A 25,035-nucleotide genomic window follows, 5' to 3' on the forward strand; every position below is an offset into this window, starting at 1 on the left:
CATATATATATATATAGTTTTTTGTTTTTTTTTCTTTGAGACGATCTCCCTCTGTTGCCCAGGCTGGAGTGCAGTGGCACAACCATGGCGCACTGCAGCTTTGACCTCCCAGACTCAGGTGATCCTCCCACCTCAGCCTGCCAGGTAGCTGAGACTATAGGTGTCCCACCATGCCCAGGCTAAAATTTTTTTTTTTTTTTTTTTTTGGTAGAGATAGGATCTTGCTACGTGGCCCAGGACTGGTCTCGAACTCCTGGGCTTAAGTGATCCTCCCAACTCAGCCTCCCAAAGTGCTGGGGATTGTAGGCATGAGCCACTGCGCCTGGCCTGTTTCTGGTGTATTTATGTGTGTTTGTCTTTGAAGAAATTGTTAGGACATACTGAAGCTTTTGTTTTGTTTTCCTGTTTTCTCTCTACAGGCAGCGGAGGAGGAAATGGCAGGTCCTAATCAACTCTGCATTCGCCGCTGGACTACCAAGCATGTAGCTGTGTGGCTGAAGGATGAAGGCTTTTTTGAATATGTGGACATTTTATGCAATAAGCACCGACTTGATGGAATCACATTGCTAACATTGACTGAATATGATCTCCGGTCTCCTCCTCTGGAAATCAAAGTCTTAGGGGACATTAAAAGGTTAATGCTCTCAGTCCGAAAATTGCAGAAAATACATATTGATGTTTTAGAAGAGATGGGCTACAACAGTGACAGTCCCATGGGTTCCATGACCCCTTTCATCAGTGCTCTTCAGAGTACAGACTGGCTCTGTAATGGGGAGCTTTCCCATGACTGTGACGGACCCATAACTGACTTGAATTCTGATCAGTACCAGTACATGAATGGTAAAAACAAACATTCTGTTCGAAGATTGGACCCAGAATACTGGAAGACTATACTGAGTTGTATATATGTTTTTATAGTATTTGGATTTACATCTTTCATTATGGTTATAGTCCATGAGCGAGTGCCTGACATGCAGACCTATCCACCACTCCCAGATATATTCTTAGACAGGTAAGTTTTGTTTCTAGTTGCTAAGTTTGTAGGATGTTGCTATAATTAACAGCAATGATACTATATTTATGATAATTATATTGTTTCTTATTGTGGTAGATGTATACTTTCCATTTGCTTTATCTGGCGGTATAAAATGCTTTGAAATTACCTTTTTCACTTAGAGTAAATTAGGCCTTAAGCCTAGGTGTGTGAGAAAAACCACTGCTCTTTTAATTTTTCAATTTAATTTAATTTTAATTTTAATTTAATTTTTTATTTTGAGACAGTCTCACACTGCACTGTCACCCAGGCTGGAATGCAGTGGCATGACCATGGCTCACTGCAGTCTCAACCTCCCGGGCTCAAGCAATCCTCCCACCTCAGCCTCCCAGGAAACTGGGACTGTAGACATGTTCCACCATGCCCAGCTAATTTTTAAGTTTTTTGTAGAAATAGAGTCCCACCGTGTTGCCCAGGCTGGGTGAACTCCTAGGCTGAAACGATCCTCCCACCTTGGCCTCTTAAAGTGTTGGGATTACAGGCATGAGCCATCATGGCCTGGACTGCTTAATTTATTTTTGTGTAGTTATAGCTCCTTGGGTACTTTAGATTTTTTGAGACAGAGTCTCGCTCTGTCACCCAGGCTGGAGTGCAGTGGCATGATCTTGGCTCACTGCAACCTCCACCTCCCTGGTTCAAGCCATTCCCCTGCCTCAGCCTCCTGAGTAGCTGGGATTACAGGAGCCCGCCACCAGGCCCAGCTACTTTTTTTGTATTTTTAGTAGAGATGGGGCTTCACCATATTGGCCAGACTGGTCTTGAACTCCTGACTTCAGGCAGTCCGCCTACCTCGGCCTCCCAAAGGGCTGGGATTACAGGTGTGAGCCACCGCGCTTGGCCAGGTACTTTAGATTTTAAGAGGGTATCTGGAATGATGTTTGTAATAAATGGAACTTGGCTGCCTTTTTTTATTTTTTTTTAAATGAAGAATAGGGTTCTGCTTTTTCAAAAATATTGATGGTGTCATATCACCAAATGAATTGGAACTATCACAAAGAGGACAAGTGGATTCAGTGATAGCATGCTGTTTTATTAAATATTGAATACATAAAAAAATGTAGTATATGTGTAACATATGAAAAATAAGAATAGGGCCGGGCGCGGTGGCTCACGCCTGTAATCCCAGCACTTTGGGAGGCCGAGGCGGGCGGATCACGAGGTCAGGAGATCGAGACCATCCCGGCTAAAACGGTGAAACCCCGTCTCTACTAAAAATACAAAAAATTAGCCGGGCATAGTGGCGGGCGCCTGTAGTCCCAGCTACTTGGGAGGCTGAGGCAGGAGAATGGCGTGAACCCGGGAGGCGGAGCTTGCAGTGAGCCGAGATCCCGCCACTGCACTCCAGCCTAGGCGACAGAGCGAGACTCCGTCTCAAAAAAAAAAAAAAGAAAAAAAAAAAAGAAAAATAAGAATAGAACAGTAGGCCAGGCATGGTGGCTCATGCCTATAATCCCAGCACTTTGGGAGGCCCAGGTGGGAGGATTGCTTGAGTCCAGGAGTTCAAGACTAGCCTACAAGTTCAAGACTTGCAACATAGCAAGACCCCCATCTCTCCAAAAAATTAAAAATTAGCCAAGCATGATGGCACATGCCTGTAGTCCTAACTACTCAGGAGGCCAAGGTGGGAGGATCACTTGAGCCTAACAGGTTGAGGTTACAGTGAGCTATAGTTACACCACTGCACTCCAGCCTGGGCAGCACAGCGAGACCCTGCCTGTCTCCAACAACAATAATAATAATAAAACAGTAAACAAGTACTCAGAACTGTTTTCACATTTTTGATTTTTAAATCTTTTAAAAATTTGGGTATTACTTTCTTGTTTGTTAGTTTTTGGTTTTGTTTTTGTTTTTTAGATGGAGTCTTGCTCTGTCACCCAGGCTGCAGTACAATGGCACGATCTCAGCTCACTGCAACCTCCGCCTCCTGGGTTCAAGTGATTCTCCTGCCTCAGCCTTCCGAGTAACTGGGATTACAGGCACCCACCACCACGACCGGCTAATTTTTGTATATTTAGTAGAGACGAGGTTTCACAGTGTTGGTCAGGCTGGTCTCGAACTCCTGACCTCAAATGATCCGCCCACCTCAGCCTCCCAAAGTGCTGGGATTACAAGCATGAGCCACTGCGCTTGGCCCCTTGTTTGTTTTTTATAAAACATTTTGCCCTTCTAAAAGTGCCTTTGCTGGGCATTAGGGCTCATACCTGTGATCCCAGCACTTCGAGAGGACGAGGCTGGTGGGATCACCTGAGGTCAGGAATTCGAGACCAGCCTGGCCAACATGGTGAAACCCCGTCTCTACTAAAAATACAAAAACTAGCTGGATGTGGTGGCGGACACCTGTAATTATCTCAGCTACTCAGGAGACTGAGGCAGGAGAATTGCTTGAACCTGGGAGGCAGAGGTTGCAGTGAGCCGAGATCGCGCCATCGCACTCCAGCCCGGGTGTCAGAGTGAGACTGTCTCAAAAAAAAAAATACATAAAGTAAAATAAAACTGCCGTGTAGTATTTGTATTTGAAAATGAAATGAATTTAAAATGTCCGTGTTCCTATGCCAGAATAATGTATACATCTCATTTTGCTCCCTGTCAAACCCCAACTAAAACTATAGTAAAGAGGTTTTTTTTTTTGTTTTGTTTTTGTTGTTTTGAGATAGAGTCCAGGCTGGAGTGCAGTGACACAATCTCGGCTCACTGCAACCTCTGCCTCCCGGGTTCAAGCTATTCTCCTGCCTCAGCCTCCCAAGTAGCTGGGATTACAGACATGTGCCACCATGCCCAGCTAATTTTGTTGTATTTTTAGTAGAGACAAGGTTTCACTGTGTTGGCTAGGCTGGTCTCGAACTCCTGACTCAAATGATCCACCCACCTGGGCCTCCCAAAGTATAGGGATTACAGGTGTGAGCCACCATGCCCGGTGAGCTGTAGTAAAGAGTTTTTTGTTTTTGTTTTTTAAGTAAGCCCACAGGATGGAGTGGATAAAATAGGAGAAAACAGCCATACATTTTTGGAAGTTGGAAGATGGATGGATGAGTGGCAATTGACAAACCCAAAATTAACCTAATTATAAAATTTGAGCAATGGGGAAAACTGAGAACCAACCCCGTTTATATTGCAGATTTCTCCAAAGTAAGGAGAACTTACTGAAAGCTGTTTAAGAAGTTGTTATATCCGTGTATCTTGTCTCCCCTTCTATACAGTTTTTCCAACTGTAAACAGAAGACCACTAGGAAGTAAGGAAGAAATCATGTGGCTGTCTGGGGAAAATAGTACTTTAGGCAAAGCAAACAGCTGGGTGCAAAAATCTGAACTGGGAGTGTTCCTGGCAGGTTTAAGGAACAACCAGTGAGAGATGAGCAGATCTGAGAGGAGACAAGAAGCCAGGTTGTGTAAGGACTTGAGGACCATTGTAAGGACTTCAGCTTTCATTCTAAATGAAAAGGGAAGGCACTGGAAAGTACTGAGGACAAGAGTTGAGGGATCTAACTTCTATTTTAAAAGGTCATTCTAGTTGTTGTATTGAGAATACCCTGGGGTGTGGGTGGGGATCTAGAGATCATTTAAGAATTTATTAAATTCATCTAGACAAAGATTTTAGATTGGATGAGAACAGTGGTAGAGGTGGTATGAAAGAGTCAAATTCTATATATATTTTGAAATTAGAAAATTAGAGCTAACAGAATTTGCTGATGAATTTGGATTTGATGAATTAAGAGAGAGAAATCAAATATTATTCCAAGATGTTTTTTGTTTTTTGTTTTTTTTGAGACAGGGTCTCACTCTGTTCTCCAGGCTGGAGTTTAGTGGTGCATTCATAGATCACTGTAACCTCAAATTCCTAGGCTCAAGTGATCTCCTTCCTTAGCCTCCCGAGTCACTACGACTGCAGGTGTGTGTCACCACACCTGCCTGATTTTTAAATCTTTTGTAGAGATGGGGTTTTGCTATGTTGCCTAGGCTGGTCTCAAACTTTTGGCCTCAAGTGATCCTCCCATCCCTGCCTCCCAAAGCACTGGGATTGTAGGTGTGAGCTACCACCCCCCAGCCTATTCCAAGATTTTTAACCTGACCATCTGTAAAGATGGAGTTGCCATTTACAGAGATGGGAAAACTGTGGAAGGAGCTGACTTGGAGGGAAAATTAAGGGTTTGGTTTTCGACATGTCAGGTTTGAAATATGTTTTGTAGCAAATTCAGATGTCAAGGAAGAGATGGAAATATGAGCAGAAGTTCAGAGAGATTGAGAGAGACAGAAATCTAGGCTAAGATTTGGGAATGGGCAGAGAGAGAGAACAGTATGCCAGAAGCCAAGCAAAAAAAAAAAAAAGTATTTTAAGAAGTTTAGGAACAATTGGCTGTAGCAAATGCTGCTGAAAGGTCAAGTAAGATGAGGATAATTGACCATTGGCTTTAGCAACATGTTGGTCATCAGTGACTATGACAAGAGTTAATAAGGGCAAAAATGGGTTATAATAGGTTCAGGAGAGAATGTGAGATGTATTGGAATTTACATGAAGGTACTCCACAAATGTGAAACAACATGAGCACAACAGTATTTGTTGTGACATTGTTTGTAATAATTATAAATATTGTAAATAATCTAAATGCTTACCCATGGGAAGCTGGTTGAGTAGACTATCATACATCTATACAGTGGCATACTATTTAATCATAGAAAAGAATGAAGACAATTTCTGTGAGCTGATACAAAATGATTTGCAGGAAAAACTCAGCAACAATAGCACTATGAGCACACAGATCGTGGTTTTAAAATACTGTTCCCAGGCCAGGTATGGTGGCTGACTCCTGTAATCCCAGCATTTTGGGAGACCCAGGCGGGAGGATTGCTTGAGCCCAGGAATTCTAGCCCAGCCTGGACAACCTAGTGAGATCCAGTCTCTACAAAAAATTAAAAATTAGCTAGGTGCGGTGGTGTATGCCTGCAGTCCCAGCTACTTCAGAGGCTGAAGCAGGAGGATCACTTGAGCCCAAGAGATCAAGGCTGTAGTGAGCTGTGATCATGCCACTGCACTCCAGCCTGGGCAACAAAGCGAGACCTTTTGTTTGTCTCAGTAAGTAAGTAAGTAAACAAATAAATACATACCATTCCTCACGAAAATGAACTAGACCAGGGCTGAGACCAAGCAAACAAAAATTGTGGGGTGAGAGGGGAAGCTCTTCAAGAATAATACGAGCAAATAAATGTGGGCAGCATGATTATTCTGCCTCCTCCAGTGTATTCAGGCAAGTCATCAGTAGATGATAAAATCTATTAGGTGAAAGGCCACTGAGGGGGAGCTTATTCACATGATCTGAAAGTTTCATCTCACCTATTACTTAATTACAGAGGGAATGAGGTAGCTTTACAATGGCAAGATCTGACATGCATCACCTTAACCAAATGATCAAATGTAGTAGCATCACAGTGGGACAAACAGACATTATGTGCATTGGACGTGATGTCCACAGCATCACCTATGTAATCATCTTGTCCAAAAAAAAAAAAACTTTAACCTATATCTAATCACGAAGAAACAATCAGACAAATCCAGAACATGGAACATTCTACAAGACAGCTGACATGGACTCTAAAAATGTCAGTGTCATGGCAGGCAAAATCCAGGGGGAAATGTAAGGGAAATTGAAGAGACAACCAAGAGCCACGTGAAATTTAATTAGATCCTATATCAAGAAAACAAAAATAATGCTATACAGGACATTTTTGGGACAATTAGGAAAATTGGAATATGGACTGCATGTTAAATAATGGTACTAAATCAGTGTTACAATGTCCTTGGTGTAATAGTATATTGGGTTATGAGGAGGATATCCTTGTTCCTAGAGAAACAAAGGGGAGAAGTGTCATAATGTCTGCAACTTACTTCGGGGAGGGGTTCACCTCCCCGAAAAGAGTATGTGTGTATATGTGTGTAGGTATGTATAGAAAGAATGAAAGCAAGCAAATGTGGCAAAATGTTAATTATTGTAAATGATGAGTTTAGGTGAATAATATAGTGTTGATTCTTTTAACTTTTTTTGTAGATCAGAATTTTTCACGTTAAAAGAATTAGGCAAAGAAATGATGAGGGGGAGAGAGAGAGAGAGAGAGAGAATAGGAACAGAGAAATTGGAGACATATGCTATATGATAGCATGTTTGTTGTATTGATAATAAGAATGACTCAATGTAGGGGGGTAATGATGGTAGAGGAAAGAGAGGGTATAATGTTAGAACAGTGCCCTTGAGTAGATGAAAAGGAATGGTACCTTGTGGCTGGGAGAGGCTGGCCTTAGGCCCTTGGGCTGTTCCTTCATAACAGAGGGGAAGGTAGAAAATAGGAAAATAGGTGGAGGTTGCCATATGTGATGGTGGAGCACAACGAAGTGCTCTCCTGATTGTTTTTATTTTCTCTGTTTAAAGACAAAATGGAGAGGAGGATGGAGGCTTGAGGAGGAAGGATGAGATGTATAAAATAAGCCATCTAGGAGAGTAGGAGAGTGAATAGACTTGTGTAATGCATTAGCAGCACTTAATGGTCTCCTTGAGGTTAGTAGTCATATTAGCATTGTGTGTTTTTACCAGCCTCATTCAACAGCAGATACAGGTATGGAATAGGTGGAGAACTGGATTTAAGCAGGGTTGAGTATTGCTAGGCAGTACAATGAAGGGAAAAGTGGCAAGGGAGTGGTTTTAATGAGGGACCATGGACTGATATGGATGAGGAAAGAAGTAAGGCCGGGCGCGGTGTCTCACGCCTATAATCCCAGCACTTTGGGAGGCTGAGGCGGGCAGATCACCTGAGGTCGGGAGTTCAAGACCAGCCTGACCAACATGGAGAAACCGCATCTCTACTAAAAATTCAAAATTAGCCAGGCATGGTGGTGCATGCCTGTAATCCCAGCTACTCGGGAGGCTGAGGCAGGAGAATTGCTTGAACCTGAGAGGCGGAAGTTGTGGTGAGTTGAGATCACACCATTGCACTCCAGCCTGGGCAACAAGAGCAAAACTCTGTCTCAAAAAAAAAAGAAAAAAAGAAGGAAGTAAAGGATATAAGGTAGATGAAAAAATAATAAAAAACAAGCAAAAAATAAAAAAACAAAGCATAGTGGGAGAGCAGGAAATGGTCCAGCAGAACAATGAGGCTTTTATTATTTTAAAGTATACAGGCTGAGTGCGGTGGCTCATGCCCGTAATCCCAGCACTTTGGGAGGCCGAGGCAGGTGGATCACCTGAGGTCAGGAATTCGAGACCAGCCTGGCCAACATGGCGAAACCCTGTCTTTACTAAAAATATAAAAATTAGCCGGGCGTGGTGGCATGCTCCTTTAGTCCCAGCTACTCCAGAGGCTGAGGCAGGAGAATTGCTTGAACCTAGGAGGTGGAGGTTGCAGTGAGCCGAGATCATGCCACTGCACTCCAGCCTGGGTGACAGAGCGAGACTCTCTCAAAAAAAAAATAATAATAAAGTATACAATTCAGTGGGTTTTAGTGTATTTACAAAGTTGTAGAGCCATCACCACTAATTCCAGAACATTTTCATCATCCTGGGAAGAAACTCATACCCATTAGCAGTCATACTCTATTCCTTCCTTTCTCCAGACCCTAGCAACCACTAATCTACTTTGTTTCTATGAATTTGTCTATTCTGGACATTTCGTATAAGTGGAACCATACAATATCGGGTCTTTTTGTGTCACTCAGCATAATATTTTCAAGATTCATCCGTACTGTAGCATGTATCAGCACTACCTTCTTTCTTATTACCAAATAATATTCCATTGTATGGATGTACCAATTTTGTTTATCCATTTATCAGTTGATAGGTGTTTGTGTTGTTTCTACTTTTTGGCTATTATTAATAATGCTGCTATGAACATTCATATGCAAAGTTTTGTGTAGACAAATTTTTTTTTCTTTTTCTTTTTTTTTTTTTGAGACAGAGTCTCACTCTGTTACCCAGGCTGGAGTATAGTGGTGCAATCTCAACTCACCGCAACCTCCATCTCCTGGGTCAAACGGTGCTCATGCCTCAGCCTCCTGAGTAGCTGGGATTACAGGTGCACACCACCACACCCAGCTAATTTTTGTATTTTTAGTAGAGACGGGGTTTCACCATGTTGGCCAGGCTGGTCTCAAGCTCCTGACCTCAAGAGATCCGCTCATCTCAGCCCCCACAAAGTGCAAGCATTACACGTGTGAGCCACCACACCCAGCGGGACATGTATTATCAATTTGCAGTGAGGATTTCAAACCAAATTTTGCCTAATTCTTTTTACTTACTATGCCACTCACTAAAACTCCATGGTCTTAAACATCTAAACTTTATTCATAGGAGAATGGTAGCAGATGCTGTCAGTGTTCCTTCTATATCCCCTCAGATCCCTTTTCCATTTTCTTGCACATGGATACTCCCAACATCCAGCAGATACGTCTCCGTTGGAGGGCTGCTCTTTGCCTACTTGGAGAGAAAGCCAAAAAATACTTGGAAATTTACTTCCCACCAGCAGCTGTTCTTAACCAGTGACTCATTTCTCTTTGCCCTAATTGGGACGACATTTAGATTGGACCTACACTGTCCCAAATTACCCATAAGCCTGAGCGAAAGTTACCCTTTCCTGAGTTCTCCACAGGGCTTTGCTTGATGTCTCACCCTTGCTTTGCTTCCTTGCCTTCTAATCTCATAACCCACTACCCTGTGGGTTTTCTTTGAGAACATTTCCCTGTAATTGACTTTCACACTGATGTTTGTTTCAGGGTCTGCTTCTGAAGCTTATTTTACACAAATCCAATATGTTCAGCATATAGAAACAGAAAATTAGAAGAAGATAGGAATGTTTCTAGAAGCAGGCCCACCTACAGCAGTGAGAAGTGAGAGCTGATAACCATAATAGCAAGGGAGGAAACAAAACACTATAAAAAGCAAACATAAATAATGGAAAAACTGCATCAATCTGGGGCTTAACTGCCCTTCATTTCTCAGTAGTCTCCAAGGTCATTACCATATACAGTGTAATAATCAGTGTTCATAGTGATGACTCTAAATTACTAAAGAAAATTAAATTTTTTTTTTTGAGACAGAGTCTTGCTCTGTCGCCCAGGCTGGAGTGCAGTGGCGCGATCTCGGCTCACTGCAAGCTCCGCCTCCTGGGTTCACGCCATTCTCCTGCCTCAGCCTCCCAAGTAGCTGGGAGTACAGGCGCCCGCCACCACGCCAGGCTAATTTTTTTTTTTTTTTGTATTTTTTAGTAGGGACGGGGTTTCACTGTGTTAACCAGGATGATCTCGATCTCCTGTCCTTGTGATCCGCCCACCTTGGCCTCCCAAAGTGCTGGGATTACAGGCGTGAGCCACCATGCCCAGCCAAGAAAATTAAATTATATCCAGAAAAAAGACATATCCATGTATAATGCATTTTAAAAGCTTAGCTCAAAATAATATAAGGGATTGAATACACATTTGACAGGTTCCTCACAACAGTCCACTAAAATGGCAGTAAAAGAGTGAAGAAACTGTATAATCCCATGAAAGCAAAAACAGTGCTAATAATGAAAGTTTGGAAAGTAGAACGCTAAGTACCTGTTGTGAGGTTGTGGGTGGAAGGTGGCCCTGCCCAAGAGGTAAGTTTATTTGTACTTCAGAGCTCCCATAAAACAGAAAGTACCAAGCATCACTCAAGGCCAGGTACAGATAGGAGCTAAATAGGGGAAAGTTGGTTAAAAATCTTCTTAAGCCTGGGCAACATGGTGAAACCCTTTCTCTACAAAAAATACAAAAATTAGCCAGGCATGGTGGAGTGTGCCTGTAGTCCCGGGTATTGGGGAGTCTGAGGTGGGAGGATGGCTTGATCCCAGGAGGTGGAGGTTGCAGTTAGCCGCGATTGCGCCACTGTACTGCAGCCTGGGCCGCAGAGTGAGACCCTGTCTCAAAAAAAAAATCTACTTAAGCTTTTAGACCTGCTCTACTCTGACAGAAGACTAGTGGTCTGTTCTCCAGAGCAGTTGAATATGAAGCACTGTTGACTTAGGGATACCGTGTCCAGATGAGAACAGAGCTGCCATGTTTTAAAGAGGATTCATTAAAAGTCTATATACCAATCACAGAGACTTCTAGCTCCCTTCCTTAAGTAGCCAGACTTATTTCTCATCTCCCCTCCTACCCAACCCCAGCCTTCCAAGAAGGGTAAGATTCCTTTCCTTGGAAAACCTGAAGAAAAACAATGTAAATAGCTGGTTGGGATATCCTTTTCTAATCAACCAGATCTCTGCGCACCCTGAGTGCGCAGAGAAACCCAAAGCTTGACAGAGCTCAGTCTATGCCCACAGAATGTCTCATCTTTTTTAGTACTTTACTGTCAAATATGAATGGTCAGTCAAGAAACCAGACGTCTGAGAAAAACATAAGCGCAAACAGAAAAAAAAAAGTAAATTGGAAAACAAAATAAGGAGCAGACGAACACTTAAAAAAAAACTTTCGTGTTTTCAAGAGAAATAAGAGATGTTGCATTCTATGTGACAGTAATGAGAGGCCCAAAGAAAATTCAGAGAAAAAGAGCTTTTGGGGGAAAAAAAAAAAGTAGAGATTTAAAATCCAGCAGGGGCTGGGCGTGGTGGTTTACACCTGTAATCCTTTGGGAGCGCTTTGGGAGCACTTTGGGAGGCCGAGGTGGCCAGGTCACCTGAGGTCAGGAGTTCAAGACCAGCCTGGCCAACATGGGAAAACCCCATCTCTACTAAAAATGCAAAAATTAGCCAGGCGTGGTGGCAGGTGCCTATAATCCCAGCTACTCGGGAGGCTGAGACAGGGAGAATTGCTTGAACCCAGGAGGCAGAAGTGGCAGTAAGCCAAAATCACGCCACTACAGTCCAACCTGGGCAACAGAGCAACACTCCGTCTCAAAAAAATAAATAAATAAAAAATAAAATCCAGCAGGATTGGCCAGCCACCATGGTTCACACCTGTAATCCTAGCACTTCTGGAGGCCAAGGCAGGTGGATCACGTGAGGTCAGCAGTTTGAGACCGGCCTAGCCAACATTGTGAAACGCTTTCTCTACTAAAAATACAAAAATTAGCTGGGCGTGGTGGTGGGCACCTGTAATCCCAGCAACGCGGGAGACTGAAGCACGAGAATTGCTTGAACTCAGGAGGTGGAGGTTGCAATGAGCCAAGATTGCATCATTGCACTCCAGCCTGGGCGACAAAGCGAGACTGTGTTTCAAAAAAGTGAGGCTGGGCACGTGGCTCACGCCTGTAATCCCAGCACTTTGGGAGGCTGAGGCAGGCGGATGACCTGAGGTCAGGATTTCGAGACCAGCCTGACCAACATGGAGAAACCCCATCTCTACTAAAAATACACAATTAGCCGGGCCTGGTGCTGCATGCCTGTAATCCCAGCTACTTGGGAGGCTGAGGCAAGAGAATTGCTTGAACCCAGGAGGCGGAGGTTGTGGTGAGCCGAGATCGCGCCATTGCACTCCAGCCTGGGGAACACGAGTGAAACTCCGTCTCAAAAAAAAAAAAAAAAAAAAACTGAATTGCCAAGATGAGAGTTAATTTTATTCTAGGAAATAACCATGCAGGAGGATTGGAAAATACAACCATTCTAAATTGGAATAAAAGGGAGAAGGCTCTAGGAGAGATTGCCCTGGAGGAAAAATTGAAATTGATAGTTTGGGGATGAGTTAGTAATAAGCACTCAGGAAACACAGAGCAAACTAAAAAAAAGAAGAATTTATTAGCTCCAGAGAATTACAAAAAGTTGTACAAGAGAGGAATTTTTTTTTCTTTTTTTCTTTTTTTTTGAAACAGAGTCTCGCTCTGTCACCCAGGCTGGAGTGCAGTGGCAACGATCTCGGCTCACTGCAACCTCCGCCTCCCGGGTTCAAGCAGTTCTCTGCCTCAGCCTCCCGAGTAGCTGTGACTACATGTGCCTGCCACCATGCCCGGCTAATTTTTTTGTATTTTTAGTAGAGACGGGGTTTAACCATGTGGGCCAGGCTGGTCTTGAACTCCTGACCTCGTGATCCACCCGCCTTGGCCTCCCAAAGTGCTGGGATTATAGGCGTGAGCCACCGTGCCCAGCCATGTTTTCTTTTTTTAAATACCTTTATTTCCCTAGTTATAAAATTAACATGTCATTGTAGAAAAGTTTTTAGTAGAAATGTACAAAGAATAAAAGAAACGTCAATAATTCTGGCACCCAGAGATGACCTATTGGACTATTTTGTTCGTTTCAGTCTCCTTCCCCTTCCTTTCTTCCTCCCTTCCTCCCTACCTTCCTTCTTTCTTCCCTCTTTCTTTTTTTCTTTTTTGAGACAGGGTCTGGTTCTGTCGCCTAGGTTGGAGGCAGTGATGAAACCTCGGCTCACTGCAACCTCTGCCTCCCAGGCTCAAGCCATCCTCCCACCTCAGCCTTCCAAGTAGCTGGGACTTACAGGCGCGCAGCACCGCATCTGGCTAATTTTTGTATTTTTTGTAGAGACCTGGGAGTTGGGGTTGTTCACCATGTTGCCCAGGCTGGTCTCCTGAACTCCTGAGTTTAAGTAGTTGGCCCACCTCAGCCTCCCAAAGCACTGGGATTACAGGCGTGATCCACCATGCCCAGCCTCTTTCTTTCTTTTTCTCTCCCTCTCTCTCCTTTTTCTTTCTTAAAGTGACCTGTCCTTTATTAGTGGGTAATCATAGGAGCTGTTTGGTGGGGAGGAAAAAGGGACAAATTGAAAATAGAAAAAAAACCAGGGTTACAAAACAAGGGGGGATAGAGAGAAAGAGGTAAAACAAAAAACAAAAACAAGGGGCCAGGCGCTGTGGCTCACACCTGTAATCTCAGCACTTTGGAAGTCTGAGACGGGAGAATCACTTGAGCTCAGGAGTTTGAGACCAGCCTGGGCAACAAAGTGAGACCCCATACAAAAAATACAAAAAGTTAGCCAGGCATAGTTTCACGGGCCTTGTAGTCCCGGCCACTTAGGTGGCTGAGGTGGGAGGATCACTTGAGCCCTGGGCTGTCTAGGCTGCAGTCAGCTGTGATGGCACCACTGTACTGCAACCTGGGTGACAGAGCAAGACCCTGTTTCAAAAACAACAACAACAATAACAACAAAGCATCAAGTTCAAACCCTGATTGTTTGCACTCTGAAAAGAGCACTTCATGCAAGAAATGGGCCTTTCTCCCATTGTCCTTTGTGGGTAGTCCTATATCCAGATCTGCTGTGCTATAGGATGGGAGAAAAGGGTTGCCACTTCTTTTTTTTTTTTTTTCCTCTGGTATTTGCTGTCAGAGAACCCTAACTGGGAATCAATGGACAAGAAACAGGTTCCGATAGGTGGGGGTACTTTATGACACAGATTTTTTCTCCCAGTTTCTCCAAATATCATTTTCTGTAAGAGATAAGTTATATAAAACCAATTTTAAGGTCATTATTAAAAGAGCACCTTACTGAAAAGGGTGGCATCATTCACATGTATACTTCTTCAATTCAAAATCATTTTTTTCTGTTCCAGCGTTCCTAGAATCCCATGGGCCTTTGCCATGACGGAAGTATGTGGCATGATTCTGTGCTATATTTGGCTCCTGGTTCTTCTTCTTCACAAGCACAGGTACCTCATTACTCCATTAAATGACTGAAAATGTTTTGACTCCTGTATCAAGATCATAAAATCTTAACCTTTCTCTTTGCAGTTTCCTTGTTAATTTCCTTCTCTGGTCATTGTGACATAGTTATTAACAAAGGATTTTGAGTTTGATCAGTAAGAGTCAGCCTAAGATAATATCTACATATTTAGTAATAATCCTGAATGCATTTTGCACGGAAAGATCAGAGATGCCCTATGGCTGATCGTGCTCATCTCTGATCTAAAAAAAAGAGGCTGGGCGCGGTGGCTCATGCCTGTAATCCCAGCACTTTGGGAGGCCGAGGCAGGCGGATCACCTGAGGTTAGGAGTTCGAGACCAGCCTGACCAACATGGAGAAATCCCGTCTCTACTAAAAATACAAAATTAACTGGGCGTGGTGGCGCATGCCTATAATCCCAGCTACTTGGGAGGCTGAGGCAGGAGAATCGCTTGGACCCCAGGGTCGGACATTGTGGTGAGCTGAGATAAGAAAGCCTTTTCTTTCCTTAGAAACAAACTGGAAAAGTTACTTTCTGTAGGATAGAAACTCTTCCAAGGACATTCTTTGGTCACATGTTTAGATGGAAGAAATTTTCTCTGCTTTGAGGAGGCCCATTAAAAAAGAGATTATTGGCCGGGCACGGTGGCTCATGCCTGTAATCCCAGCACTTTGGGAGGGCAAGGCAGGCGGATCACGAGGTCAGGAGATTGAGACCATCCTGGCTAACACGGTGAAACCCTGTCTCTACTAAAAATACAAAATATTAGCTGGGCATGGTGGCGGGTGCCTGTAGTCCCAGCTAACTTGGGAGGCTGAGGCAGGAGAATGGCATGAACCCAGGAGGCAGAGCTTGCAGTGAGCCGAGATTGTGCCACTGCACTCCAGCCTGGGCGACAGAGTGAGACTCTGTCTCAAAAAAAAAAAAAAAAGATTATTAGCCAGGCACAGTGGCACATGCCTGTAACCCCAGTACTTTAGGAGGCTGAGGTGGGAGGATTGCTTGAGCCCAGGTGTTCAAGACCAGCCTGGGAAACATGAGGAGACCCTGTCTCTACAAAAAATTTAAAGATTAACCAGGTGTGGTGGCACATGCCTATAGTCCCAGCTTCTCAGGAGGCTGAGGTGGGAGGATTGCTTGAGCCCAGGAGGTCAAGGTTGCAGTGAGCTGTGATTGTGCCACTGCACTCCAGCGTGGGGTGACAGAGCCAGACCCTGTCTCCAAAAAAAAAAAAAAAAAAAAAGAAAGATTATTTTGTACAACATGTACATATAGTCTGTGTGGTTTACTTCAGATGGTATGGGAAGTTGCTAAATTGGAAAGTGTGTCTTGGCACTTTCACCAAAAAATATAGACGAAAGAATTTATTTACTTTCATTTTATTTACTTTTACTGCTTCTTGTGGAGCAGGGCTAACTCACAGGCAGTGTACCCAGAGTCAGCCAGGAAAAATTTTTTAATTAAAAAAAGGAAGCCTGGGGGGCTCCTTTCCTAGTTTAATGGGCAGGAAGAATTAGTGGATTTAAGTAAAAAACAAGGCATTGTAAACAAAAAATTTAAAGATAAAATTAGTAGATATTGCATAAGAGCTCCTGAGGGGCTTTTTAAAAAACTGTAGATATGTGAGCTTTTGAGATTGCTTAAAAAAAAAAAAAATTGTAGCTTCTGCTCTCCATTGTCTTTGGAACACTGGAGAGAGGAACAAGGGTAGTTGCTTGAGGTTTTGACCTTTCTCCTCACCAGGAAGTGCTTGAGGTAAACCACAGTGATGAGCTTTAGGTCCTAAGCAGCAGTTATTTCAGTGTTCTGAAGGTGAAAAGAAAGGTTGGTGGTTACTATTCTTATCATACTTTTAGGCCACATTGAGCCATATTCTCTCCCATTTTGTCCTGTTTTGCAGCAATATTTTAAATTCTGGATTGCTTAAAACCAGAGGTGGTTTTAAAACATGTGTATCATTGCTGCTTTCTGGTTAACTTTGCCTCACAAGATCTCATGAACTTGAATTTATCTACTCTTCAAAACTGGAGTTTACCTTACAGGAAACCTTGGTAGGTTTAACAAAGCATAGAGGTAACCCGTTAAATCCAAGTGTTAATGTTTACTTAGTCAAAGAAAGTGTTTCTCAAAGTGTTTGTACCACTTTCATTAGAATCACCTGGGTGCTTGTTAAAATGCAGATTCCTAGGTTCCATCTCAGGAGTGCACACTAATGCTTGAAACATACCTAGCCTTGTGTTCAGTGCTTTCTCTGAGGGTGGGAGGATCATTTCAAAAATATGTGATGTATGGTCCCTGTCCTCAGGAATATTAGTCCAACAGTACTGGTGTTGTCACAGTGCAGTTCATGATTACCCAAGTGACAGTTACTCAGAATTTTTATTTGATATATACTTGATATAAACATTTTTTTTAAAACATAGTGTTTTATAGCTTAAGTTTAAGTTAAGAGAAGTTAGAATGAGTATTCGATAGCTACTATCATTAACTAATTTACAGTGGGTTTTTTTGTTTTGTTTGAGATAGGGTCTTGCCCTGTCACCCAGGCTAGAGCACAGTGACATGATCATGGCTCACTGCATCCTTGACCTCCTAGGCTCAATCAGTCCTCTCCCCTCAGCCTAGGACTGCAGATACACACCAACATGCCTGACTAATTTTTTATAGACAAGATGTTACTGTGTTGCCCAGGCTGGTCTCAAGCGATCCTCCTTCCTGCCTTGGTCTCCCAAAGTTCTGGGATTATAGACATGAGCCACTGCACCTAGCCTACAGTGTTATTAATGAGCAAAAAATTCCCTGGAATCACAGGTGTTTAACTTTACCTCCTTTTTTTGTTTTTTATTTTTATTTTTTGAGACAAGTCTCATTCTGTAACCCAAGCTAGAGTGCAGTGGCACAATCATAGCTTGCTGCAGCCTCCAACTCCCAGGCCCAAGCAACCCTCCCACCTCAGCCTCTCAAGTAGCTGGGATCACAGGTGTGCACCACCACATCCAGCTCATTTTTAAATTATTTGTAGAGATGAGGTCTGGTTATGTTGCCCAAGCTGTTGTCAAACTTTTGGACTCAAGCAATCCTCCCACCTTGGCCTCCCAAAGGGCTGCAATTACAAGCATGAGCCACCATCCTCGGCCAACTTTATCTCTTATAAATAATTTAAGAGCAATTTTCAGTAATAGGACTAACACCAGGCTTACTTGTCTTCTGTCTTGTATAACTCTTTTACTTTCTTTTAGCCATATTTTCTTTTTTTTTGAGACGGAGTTTCACTATTGTTGCCCAGGCTGGAGTGCAATGGCGCAGTCTTGGCTCACTGCAACCTCCACCTCCCGGGTTCAAGTGATTCTCCTGCCTCAGCCTCTCAAGTAGCTGGGATTACAGGCACACACCACCACGCCTGGACTCTTAGCCATATTTTCTTATCAGTGAAATGATGCTCTTAGAATCTAATTTAGGTCTGTATTGTTCATTATGGCAAAATTTAAATTAACTAAAATGAAATAAAATTTAAAACTCAGTTCCTCAGTCATACTGGCCACATTTCAAGTCCGTAAGATCCACATAGTATATAAATAGCTTCTTGGACAGTATATGGAACATTTCCGTCATTGCAGAGAATTCTGTTGGACAACGATGCTTTTGATGGTCTTTAAGATTTCTGTCCTCTTCAAAGAGTCTAGTGATTTTTCTGTTTGCTCTTCCTTGAAGTAAATATTTGATGCCTGGGGTTTTTTGGTTTGTTTTCTTCTGATCTTTCCCCCTTTTTGGTTGATCTGTTACAGGTCAATACTTCTGCGAAGGCTCTGTAGTCTGATGGGAACTGTATTCTTGCTTCGCTGCTTTACCATGTTTGTGACCTCCCTCTCCGTGCCAGGACAACACCTGCAGTGTACTGGAAAGGTAGCCTGCTACCTTCTTTATCATTCTTGTTTTTGGTGGGTTGATGGCACACTATATGCAATAGGGCTAAGATTTTGCTTATAGTATTAAAATGTGCTTTTTAGTATCTGCAATGTCTATAAAAAAAACTATAGAAATAATTTGGTAAAAGTCTTAAGCCAGATTCTACCTCTCTCTTATTTCTGTTGAAACTCGTTCTATGCTATGGAGCTATAGAAAACAAGTTTCTTTCGGCCGGGCGCAGTGGCTCATGCCTGTAATCCCAGCACTTTGGGAGGCCGAGGCGGGCGGATCATGAGGTCAGAAGTTCAAGACCAGCTGGGCCAAGATGGTGAAACTCCGTCTCTACTAAAAATACAAAAATTAGTTGGGCGTGGTGGTGGGCACTTGTAATCCCAGCTACTCAGGAGGCTGAGGCAGAGAATTGCTTGAACCCGGGAGGTGGAGGTTGCAATGAGCTGAGATCGTGCCACTGCACTCCAGCCTGGGCAACAGAGCGAGACTCCATCTCAAAAAAAAAAAAAAAAAAAAAAAAGTTTTTATTTTGGCCGGGCGCAGTGGCTCATGCCTGTAATCCCAGCACTTTGGGAGGCCAAGGTGGGTGGATCACGAGGTCAGGAGTTTGAGACCAGCCTGGCCAAGATGGTTAAACCCCATCTCTACTAAAAATACAAAAATTAGCCAGGTGCAGTGGTGGACGCCTGTAATCCCAGCTACTCGGGAGGCTGAGGTTCAATCGCTTGAACCTGGGAGGCGGAGGTTGTAGTGAGCCGAGATCGCACCACTGCACTCTAGCCTGGGCAACAGAGCAAGACTCTGTCTCAAAAACAAAGAAAGAAAGAAAGAAAGAAAGAAAACAATTTTCTTTCAATTATCATTTTCCCTTTCCCACCATCCTTAGCATTTTAAAAGTTTCTCATATGGCATGCTCTGGTTCCTTCACTGTCCTCCTCACTCCTTTAAAAATGTTGCCGGCCAGGTGCAGTGGCTCACGCCTGTAATCCCAGCACTTTGGGAGGCCAAGGCGGGTGGATCACCTGAGGTCAGGAGTTAAAGACCCAGCGTGGCCAACATGGTGCAGTCTACTAAAAATACAGAAAATTACCTGGTCGTGGTGACGGGCACCTGTAATCCCAGGTACTCGGAAGGCTGAGGCATGAGAGTCACTTGAACCCAGGAGGCGGAGGTTGCAGTGAGCCAAGATGGCACCATTGTACTCCAGCCTGGGCAACAAGAGTGAATCTGCATCTCAAAACAAAACAAACAAACAAACAAAAAGAAAGTTGCAGTTTGACGACATACTCAGCACTCTAAACTTTACTCTTTCTGAGATAAACAAAATAATGGCTGACTTTTGGTTTTCATTTTATATTTTGTGGATTTGTTTTGGTGTACTGTAGACATCTCTTCTCATTAAACAGAAGAAATTATGCAGATGGGAACAAAATAAGACTGTTAAAATCGCCTGTACTTTATATACAAAATTGGCTAAAATCTGTATACAAATTTGCAAAGAATTTTGTCCAAATTATATACAAATTTGGACAAAAGAACTCTACTTTTCTAGGCCTCTATGCTTTAATTCTGTGTTCTCACATATTCAAATAAATGTATGTGTTAACACCTTTGTAATTATTTTAATGTTGTTTGTAACAGCATTCACGTTCACTTCTTGTACTGCAATATCATAGCTGAAATGCCAACAAGGGAAGATTAAGCAGCCAAAGGAGATCAAGAGCTAAAAATATACCCCTGAGCTGAAGGGTGACAAAACTTTCTCCTGGTATTAGGAAGGCTTAGACTGACCAGTAAGAAAGGGGGAAGGGTTGATATGACACAGGATTTCATGTAAAGGAAATGTTTTATTTTTAAGGTAAAAGCTGTTTTGAGGTCTTTTTTTCTTTTTCCAAAAAGGAAAAGTAATTTTTTCAAATTATAAAATTATATGTTTATTATAAAAATTCAAATTATATAGAAATGTATATATTAAAAAGTAAAAATTCACCTGATTCTTTTTTACCACACCCTATAAATAATACAGTTAACAGTTGTGTGTATAGCCACACAGACCATTTTTAAGCATACTTACACACTCATATAAGTTTTTTTGGGTTTTTTTTTTTTTTTTTTTTTGAGGTGGAGTCTTTCCCAGTCGCCCAGGCTGGAGTAGTGTGGCACAGTCTTGGCTCACTGCAACCTCCTCTTCCCAAGTTCAAGCCATTCTCCTGCCTCAGCCTCCCGAGTAGCTGGGACCATCACACCTGGCTATTTTTTGTATTTTTAGTAGAGATGGGGTTTCTCCATGTTGGCCAGGCTGGTCTCGAACTCCTGACCTCAGGTGATCCACCCGCCTTGGCCTCCCAAAGTGTTGGGATTACAGGTGTGAGCCACAGCGCCTGGCCCTCATATAAGTTTTCATAGATACTTTTGAAACAAGGTAGGATTATATTGCAAACATTGTTCTTTAACCTAGTTTTCCTTTTCTTTCTTTCTTTCTTTTTCTTTTTTTTTTTTTTTTTTTTTTTTGAGATGGAGTCTCGCTGTGTCACTCAGGCGGGAGTGCAGTGGCACAATCTCGGCTCACTGCAAACTCTGCCTCCCAGGTTCATGCCATTCTCCTGCCTCAGCCTCCCGAGTAGCTGGGACTACAGGCGCCCGCCACCATGCATGGCTAATTTTTTTGTATTTTTAGTAGAGACGGGGTTTCACTGTGTTAGCCAGGATGGTCTCGATCTCCTGACCTCATGATCCGCCCGCCTTGGCCTCCCAAAGTGCTGAGATTACAGGCGTGAGCCATCGCGCCCAGCCTCTTTAGCCTATTTTTCATTTAATAGTATGTTGTTTACTTTTTTCTGAAGAAGTACATGTGGTCATATTCATCTTTTTAACAGTATTCCATTGTGGATACCAGGCTCCAAATGATGTACATTTTGGTTGTTTCAAAATTTTAGTATTTATAAACAGTGCTATAGTAAACATTCTTGTACATTGTGCTTTTGCACTTACTCAGTTATCTCCTTAAGATAAATTATTGCAAGTAAAATTATAGAATTAAAGGACATGCACATTAAAAAATATAATATGGGCTAGACAAGGTGGCTCATGCCTGTAATCCCAGCACTTTGGGAGTCCAAGGTGGGCGGATCACTTGAGGCCAGGAGTTCAAGACCAGGCTGGCCAACATGATGAAACCCCATCTCTACTAAAAATACAAATAATTAGCTGGGCATGGTGGCGGGCACCTGTAATCCCAGCTACTCGGGAGGCTGAGGCAGAAGAATCACTTGAACCTGGGAGGCAGAGGCTGCAGTGAGCTGAGATCACACCACTGCACTCCAGCCTGGGTGACAGAGCGAGACTCCATCTCAAAAAAAAAAAAAAAAGTGGTATGTGTTGCTGAAATACACACTTGAAAAGATGAGTTTTTCACTACTGCCAACATGTATGCGTGTCAGCTTTCTCACCCTCTTGCCAGCAGTGCCATTCTGATTGATGAAAGGTAATATCTAATGCTTTTATGTTCTTATTTTTTTATATTTTACATGTTTAATTTATTTTGAATTTGTTTCTGTGCATGGTGTGCGCAGTTTCTTCAAAATAGTATGCTGTGTACATGGTATGAAGCGTTTCACCCAAATAGTATTCTAGTTGATTAGGGGAGATTTTATTGTATTTTAGTCATTGTTTTTTTAAGACAGATTCTCGCTTTGTCACCCAGGCTAGAGTATAGTGTGGCATGATCATAGCTCACTGTCAGCCTAAAATTCCTGGTCTCAGGCAGTCCTCCTGCATCAGCCTTCTGAGTAGCTGGGACCACAGGCACACGCCACCACAGCCAACTGATTTTTTTTTTTTTTTAGACGGAGTCTTTCTCTGTCGCCCCGGCTAGCGTGCGGTGGTGCGATCTTGGCTTACTGCATCCTCCACCTCCTGGGTTCAAGGGATTCTCCTGTCTCAGCCTCCCAAGTAACTGGGATCACAGGCGCCTGCCACCACACCCAGCTAATTTTTGTATTTTCAGTAGAGATGGGGTTTCACCATCTTGGCCAGGCTGGTCTTGAACTCCTGACCCCATGATCCACCTGCCTCGACCTCCGAAAGTGCTGGGATTACAGGCGTGAGCCACCGTGCCTGGCCTAATTTTAATTTTTTTTTTGTAGAAACAGGATTTCACTTTGCTGCTCAGGCTGGTCTCGAGCTCCTGACTTCAAGTGCTCTTTCCATCTCCACCTCTCAAAGTGTTGGGATTACAGGCATGAGCCACCATACCTAGCCAGGACAGATTTTAAAGAAGAAAAATATAAGCTTATTACACTGAAAAGAGAAAATTTTCCATAGCTAAGGGATTTAATTGTAGGACAGCCACTGAGGAGAGGGATATCCGTGCATAGGGCTGCAACATATGCTGCAAAAATAAATTAGATACCATCCTTCTATGGTATAAACAGCCCTTTTTCTGTCTCTAATGACTGTTTTTATCAGTTGGTTATATATAGATATTTCTACTCCAATCTGACCTAAATACTGTTAATTGCTTTGAATTATAATATAACCTACTTATTGACCCGTATTATTTGCAGTAATTGTTATAAATAGAAATCAAATCCCTTACAGTGAATTCCATAAGGTAGTTTCATTATAATAAATTAATTGCTTGAAATTGCATTCCTGGAAGTAAGGGGTTTGAGGACAGAACCAATAACATGCCTATTTTTGAAATTTAGAAACACTTAATGCATATTTCTACACCTTCTCTTGTCAAAACATCCTATTCATTCTGCTCCGTTGTGTTTCAGTTTTTATTTTTTGGAAGGATATATGAGACATTTAAGATGGGAAAGGATGGAGAGATAACTGCCTTTTGACTGGCATCACTAGTTTCCTATCCTTGGTTGAGACATTTTCCTACCAGTCTCTTCTGTTTATTTACTACATGATTTTTTACTTTCTCAAGAGTAATATATCTCTAAGCCCGTGTTCATAGCGATCACAGAAGAACCAAACCCATGTGTATTATCTTTCTTTCTCTCTAATAATAAATTCTTCTTCCTTTCTTTCCCTCAAATGAGGCAGAAAGGGAAAGCTGGGCAGTGTATAATCAGCAGGTGAGATTCCTAATGAGATTGTGATATCTATGAGGTTGTTTATTTTGGTCATATTTGATAGAATCTTTAAGACATAGGGCTTTGGAATTGGGTTCCCTGGGTTCACATCCTGACTGTGTTACTTACTAGCTATGTGACCTCTCTAAGCCAGTTTCCTCATCTGCACAATTAAATCACTTCATAGGATTGCTGTGGAAATTAAATGCAGTAACATATAAAGCACTTAGCAGCATGCCTTGCACATAGTAAATGTACATAAAATTTTAGCACCTTTTTGTACCATTATTATGTTATTATTAAATTGTATTATTATAATAATACTAGTATGCCTTTTTGTGTGTGGTTTTTGTTGTTGTTGTTGTTTTTTTGAGACGGAGTCTCGCTCTGTCGCCCAGGCTAGAGTGTAGTCAGGCTAGAGTGCAGTGGCGCGATCTCTGTTCACTGCAAGCTCCACCTACCGGGTTCACGCCATTCTTCTGCCTCAGCCTCCCGAGTAGCTGGGACTGCAGGTGCCCGCCACCAAGCCCGGCTAATTTTTTGTATATTTAGTAGAGATGGGGTTTCACCGTGTTAGCCAGGATGGTCTCAATCTCCTGACCTTGTGATCCACCCACCTCGGCCTCCCAAAGTGCTGGGATTACAGGCGTGAGCCACCGTGCCTGGCCTCTTTTTTTTTTTTTTTTTTTTTGAGATGGAGTTTTGCTCTTGTTGCCCAGGCTGGAGTGCAATGGCACGATTTCTACTCACCACAACCTACCCCTCCCGGGATCAAGAGATTTTCCTGCCTCAGTCTCCTGAGTAGCTGGGATTACAGGCATGTGCCACCATGCCCAGCTAATTTTTGTACTTTTAGTAGAGATGGGTTTTCCATGTTGGTCAGGCTGATCTCGAACTCCTGACCTCAGATGATCCACCCACCTCGGCCTCTCAAAGTGCTGGGATTATAGGCGTGAGCCACCGCACCCTGCAGTATGCTTTTTTTTTTTAAGTGACTGTCCCTCTTTTGTAAAGCAGTTGTCACTCAAGGTCTTCCTCAAAATGGACTGCTTTTTTAGGCGTATGTGTGGGAGTTGGGATTAGGTTTGGCTATTGATAACTGGAAATTCAAAGTGGCTATGGTTTAATAAACACACAATGGTTTATTCTCTCTCAAAAAAGAGTCTGAAGGTAGGTACACAAGGTCTGGTATGATAATTTTACGAAGTCATCCAAAAAAACCCCATAATTCTTCTGTCTTTCTGGTCTGCTATCCCAATACTTGGCTTGTATCCTCAAGGCCACTTTGTGGTCCAAGATGGTTGCTGGAGTTTCACCTCCAGTTGAATGAGTCTGAGTTGTAGACTAAAAAAAGGAAAGGTAAAAAGTT

The 25,035-nt window shown here is 42.7% G+C and overlaps 1 protein-coding gene across 7 annotated transcripts in view; it reads left to right on the top strand.

The window, feature by feature from the left end:
* The window catches only part of SAMD8 (sterile alpha motif domain containing 8), an 82,531-nt gene that overhangs the window by 50,502 nt on the left and 6,994 nt on the right, over positions 1-25,035 (top strand). For 6 of the 7 annotated variants that reach the window (XM_011539312.4, NM_144660.3, XM_005269541.6 and 3 more), the window contains exons 2-4: positions 420-1,012; positions 14,551-14,646; positions 18,447-18,564. In XM_011539312.4, the coding sequence (XP_011537614.1) occupies positions 435-1,012; positions 14,551-14,646; positions 18,447-18,564 (792 nt within the window). In that variant the 5' untranslated portion in view covers positions 420-434. The remainder of the gene's footprint in view (positions 1-419; positions 1,013-14,550; positions 14,647-18,446; positions 18,565-25,035) is intronic. The other variant, XM_047424641.1, reaches the window with a different exon arrangement.

Source organism: Homo sapiens, chromosome 10 (assembly GCF_000001405.40).
Source record: "Homo sapiens chromosome 10, GRCh38.p14 Primary Assembly".
Classification (NCBI taxonomy): Eukaryota; Metazoa; Chordata; class Mammalia; order Primates; family Hominidae; genus Homo; species Homo sapiens.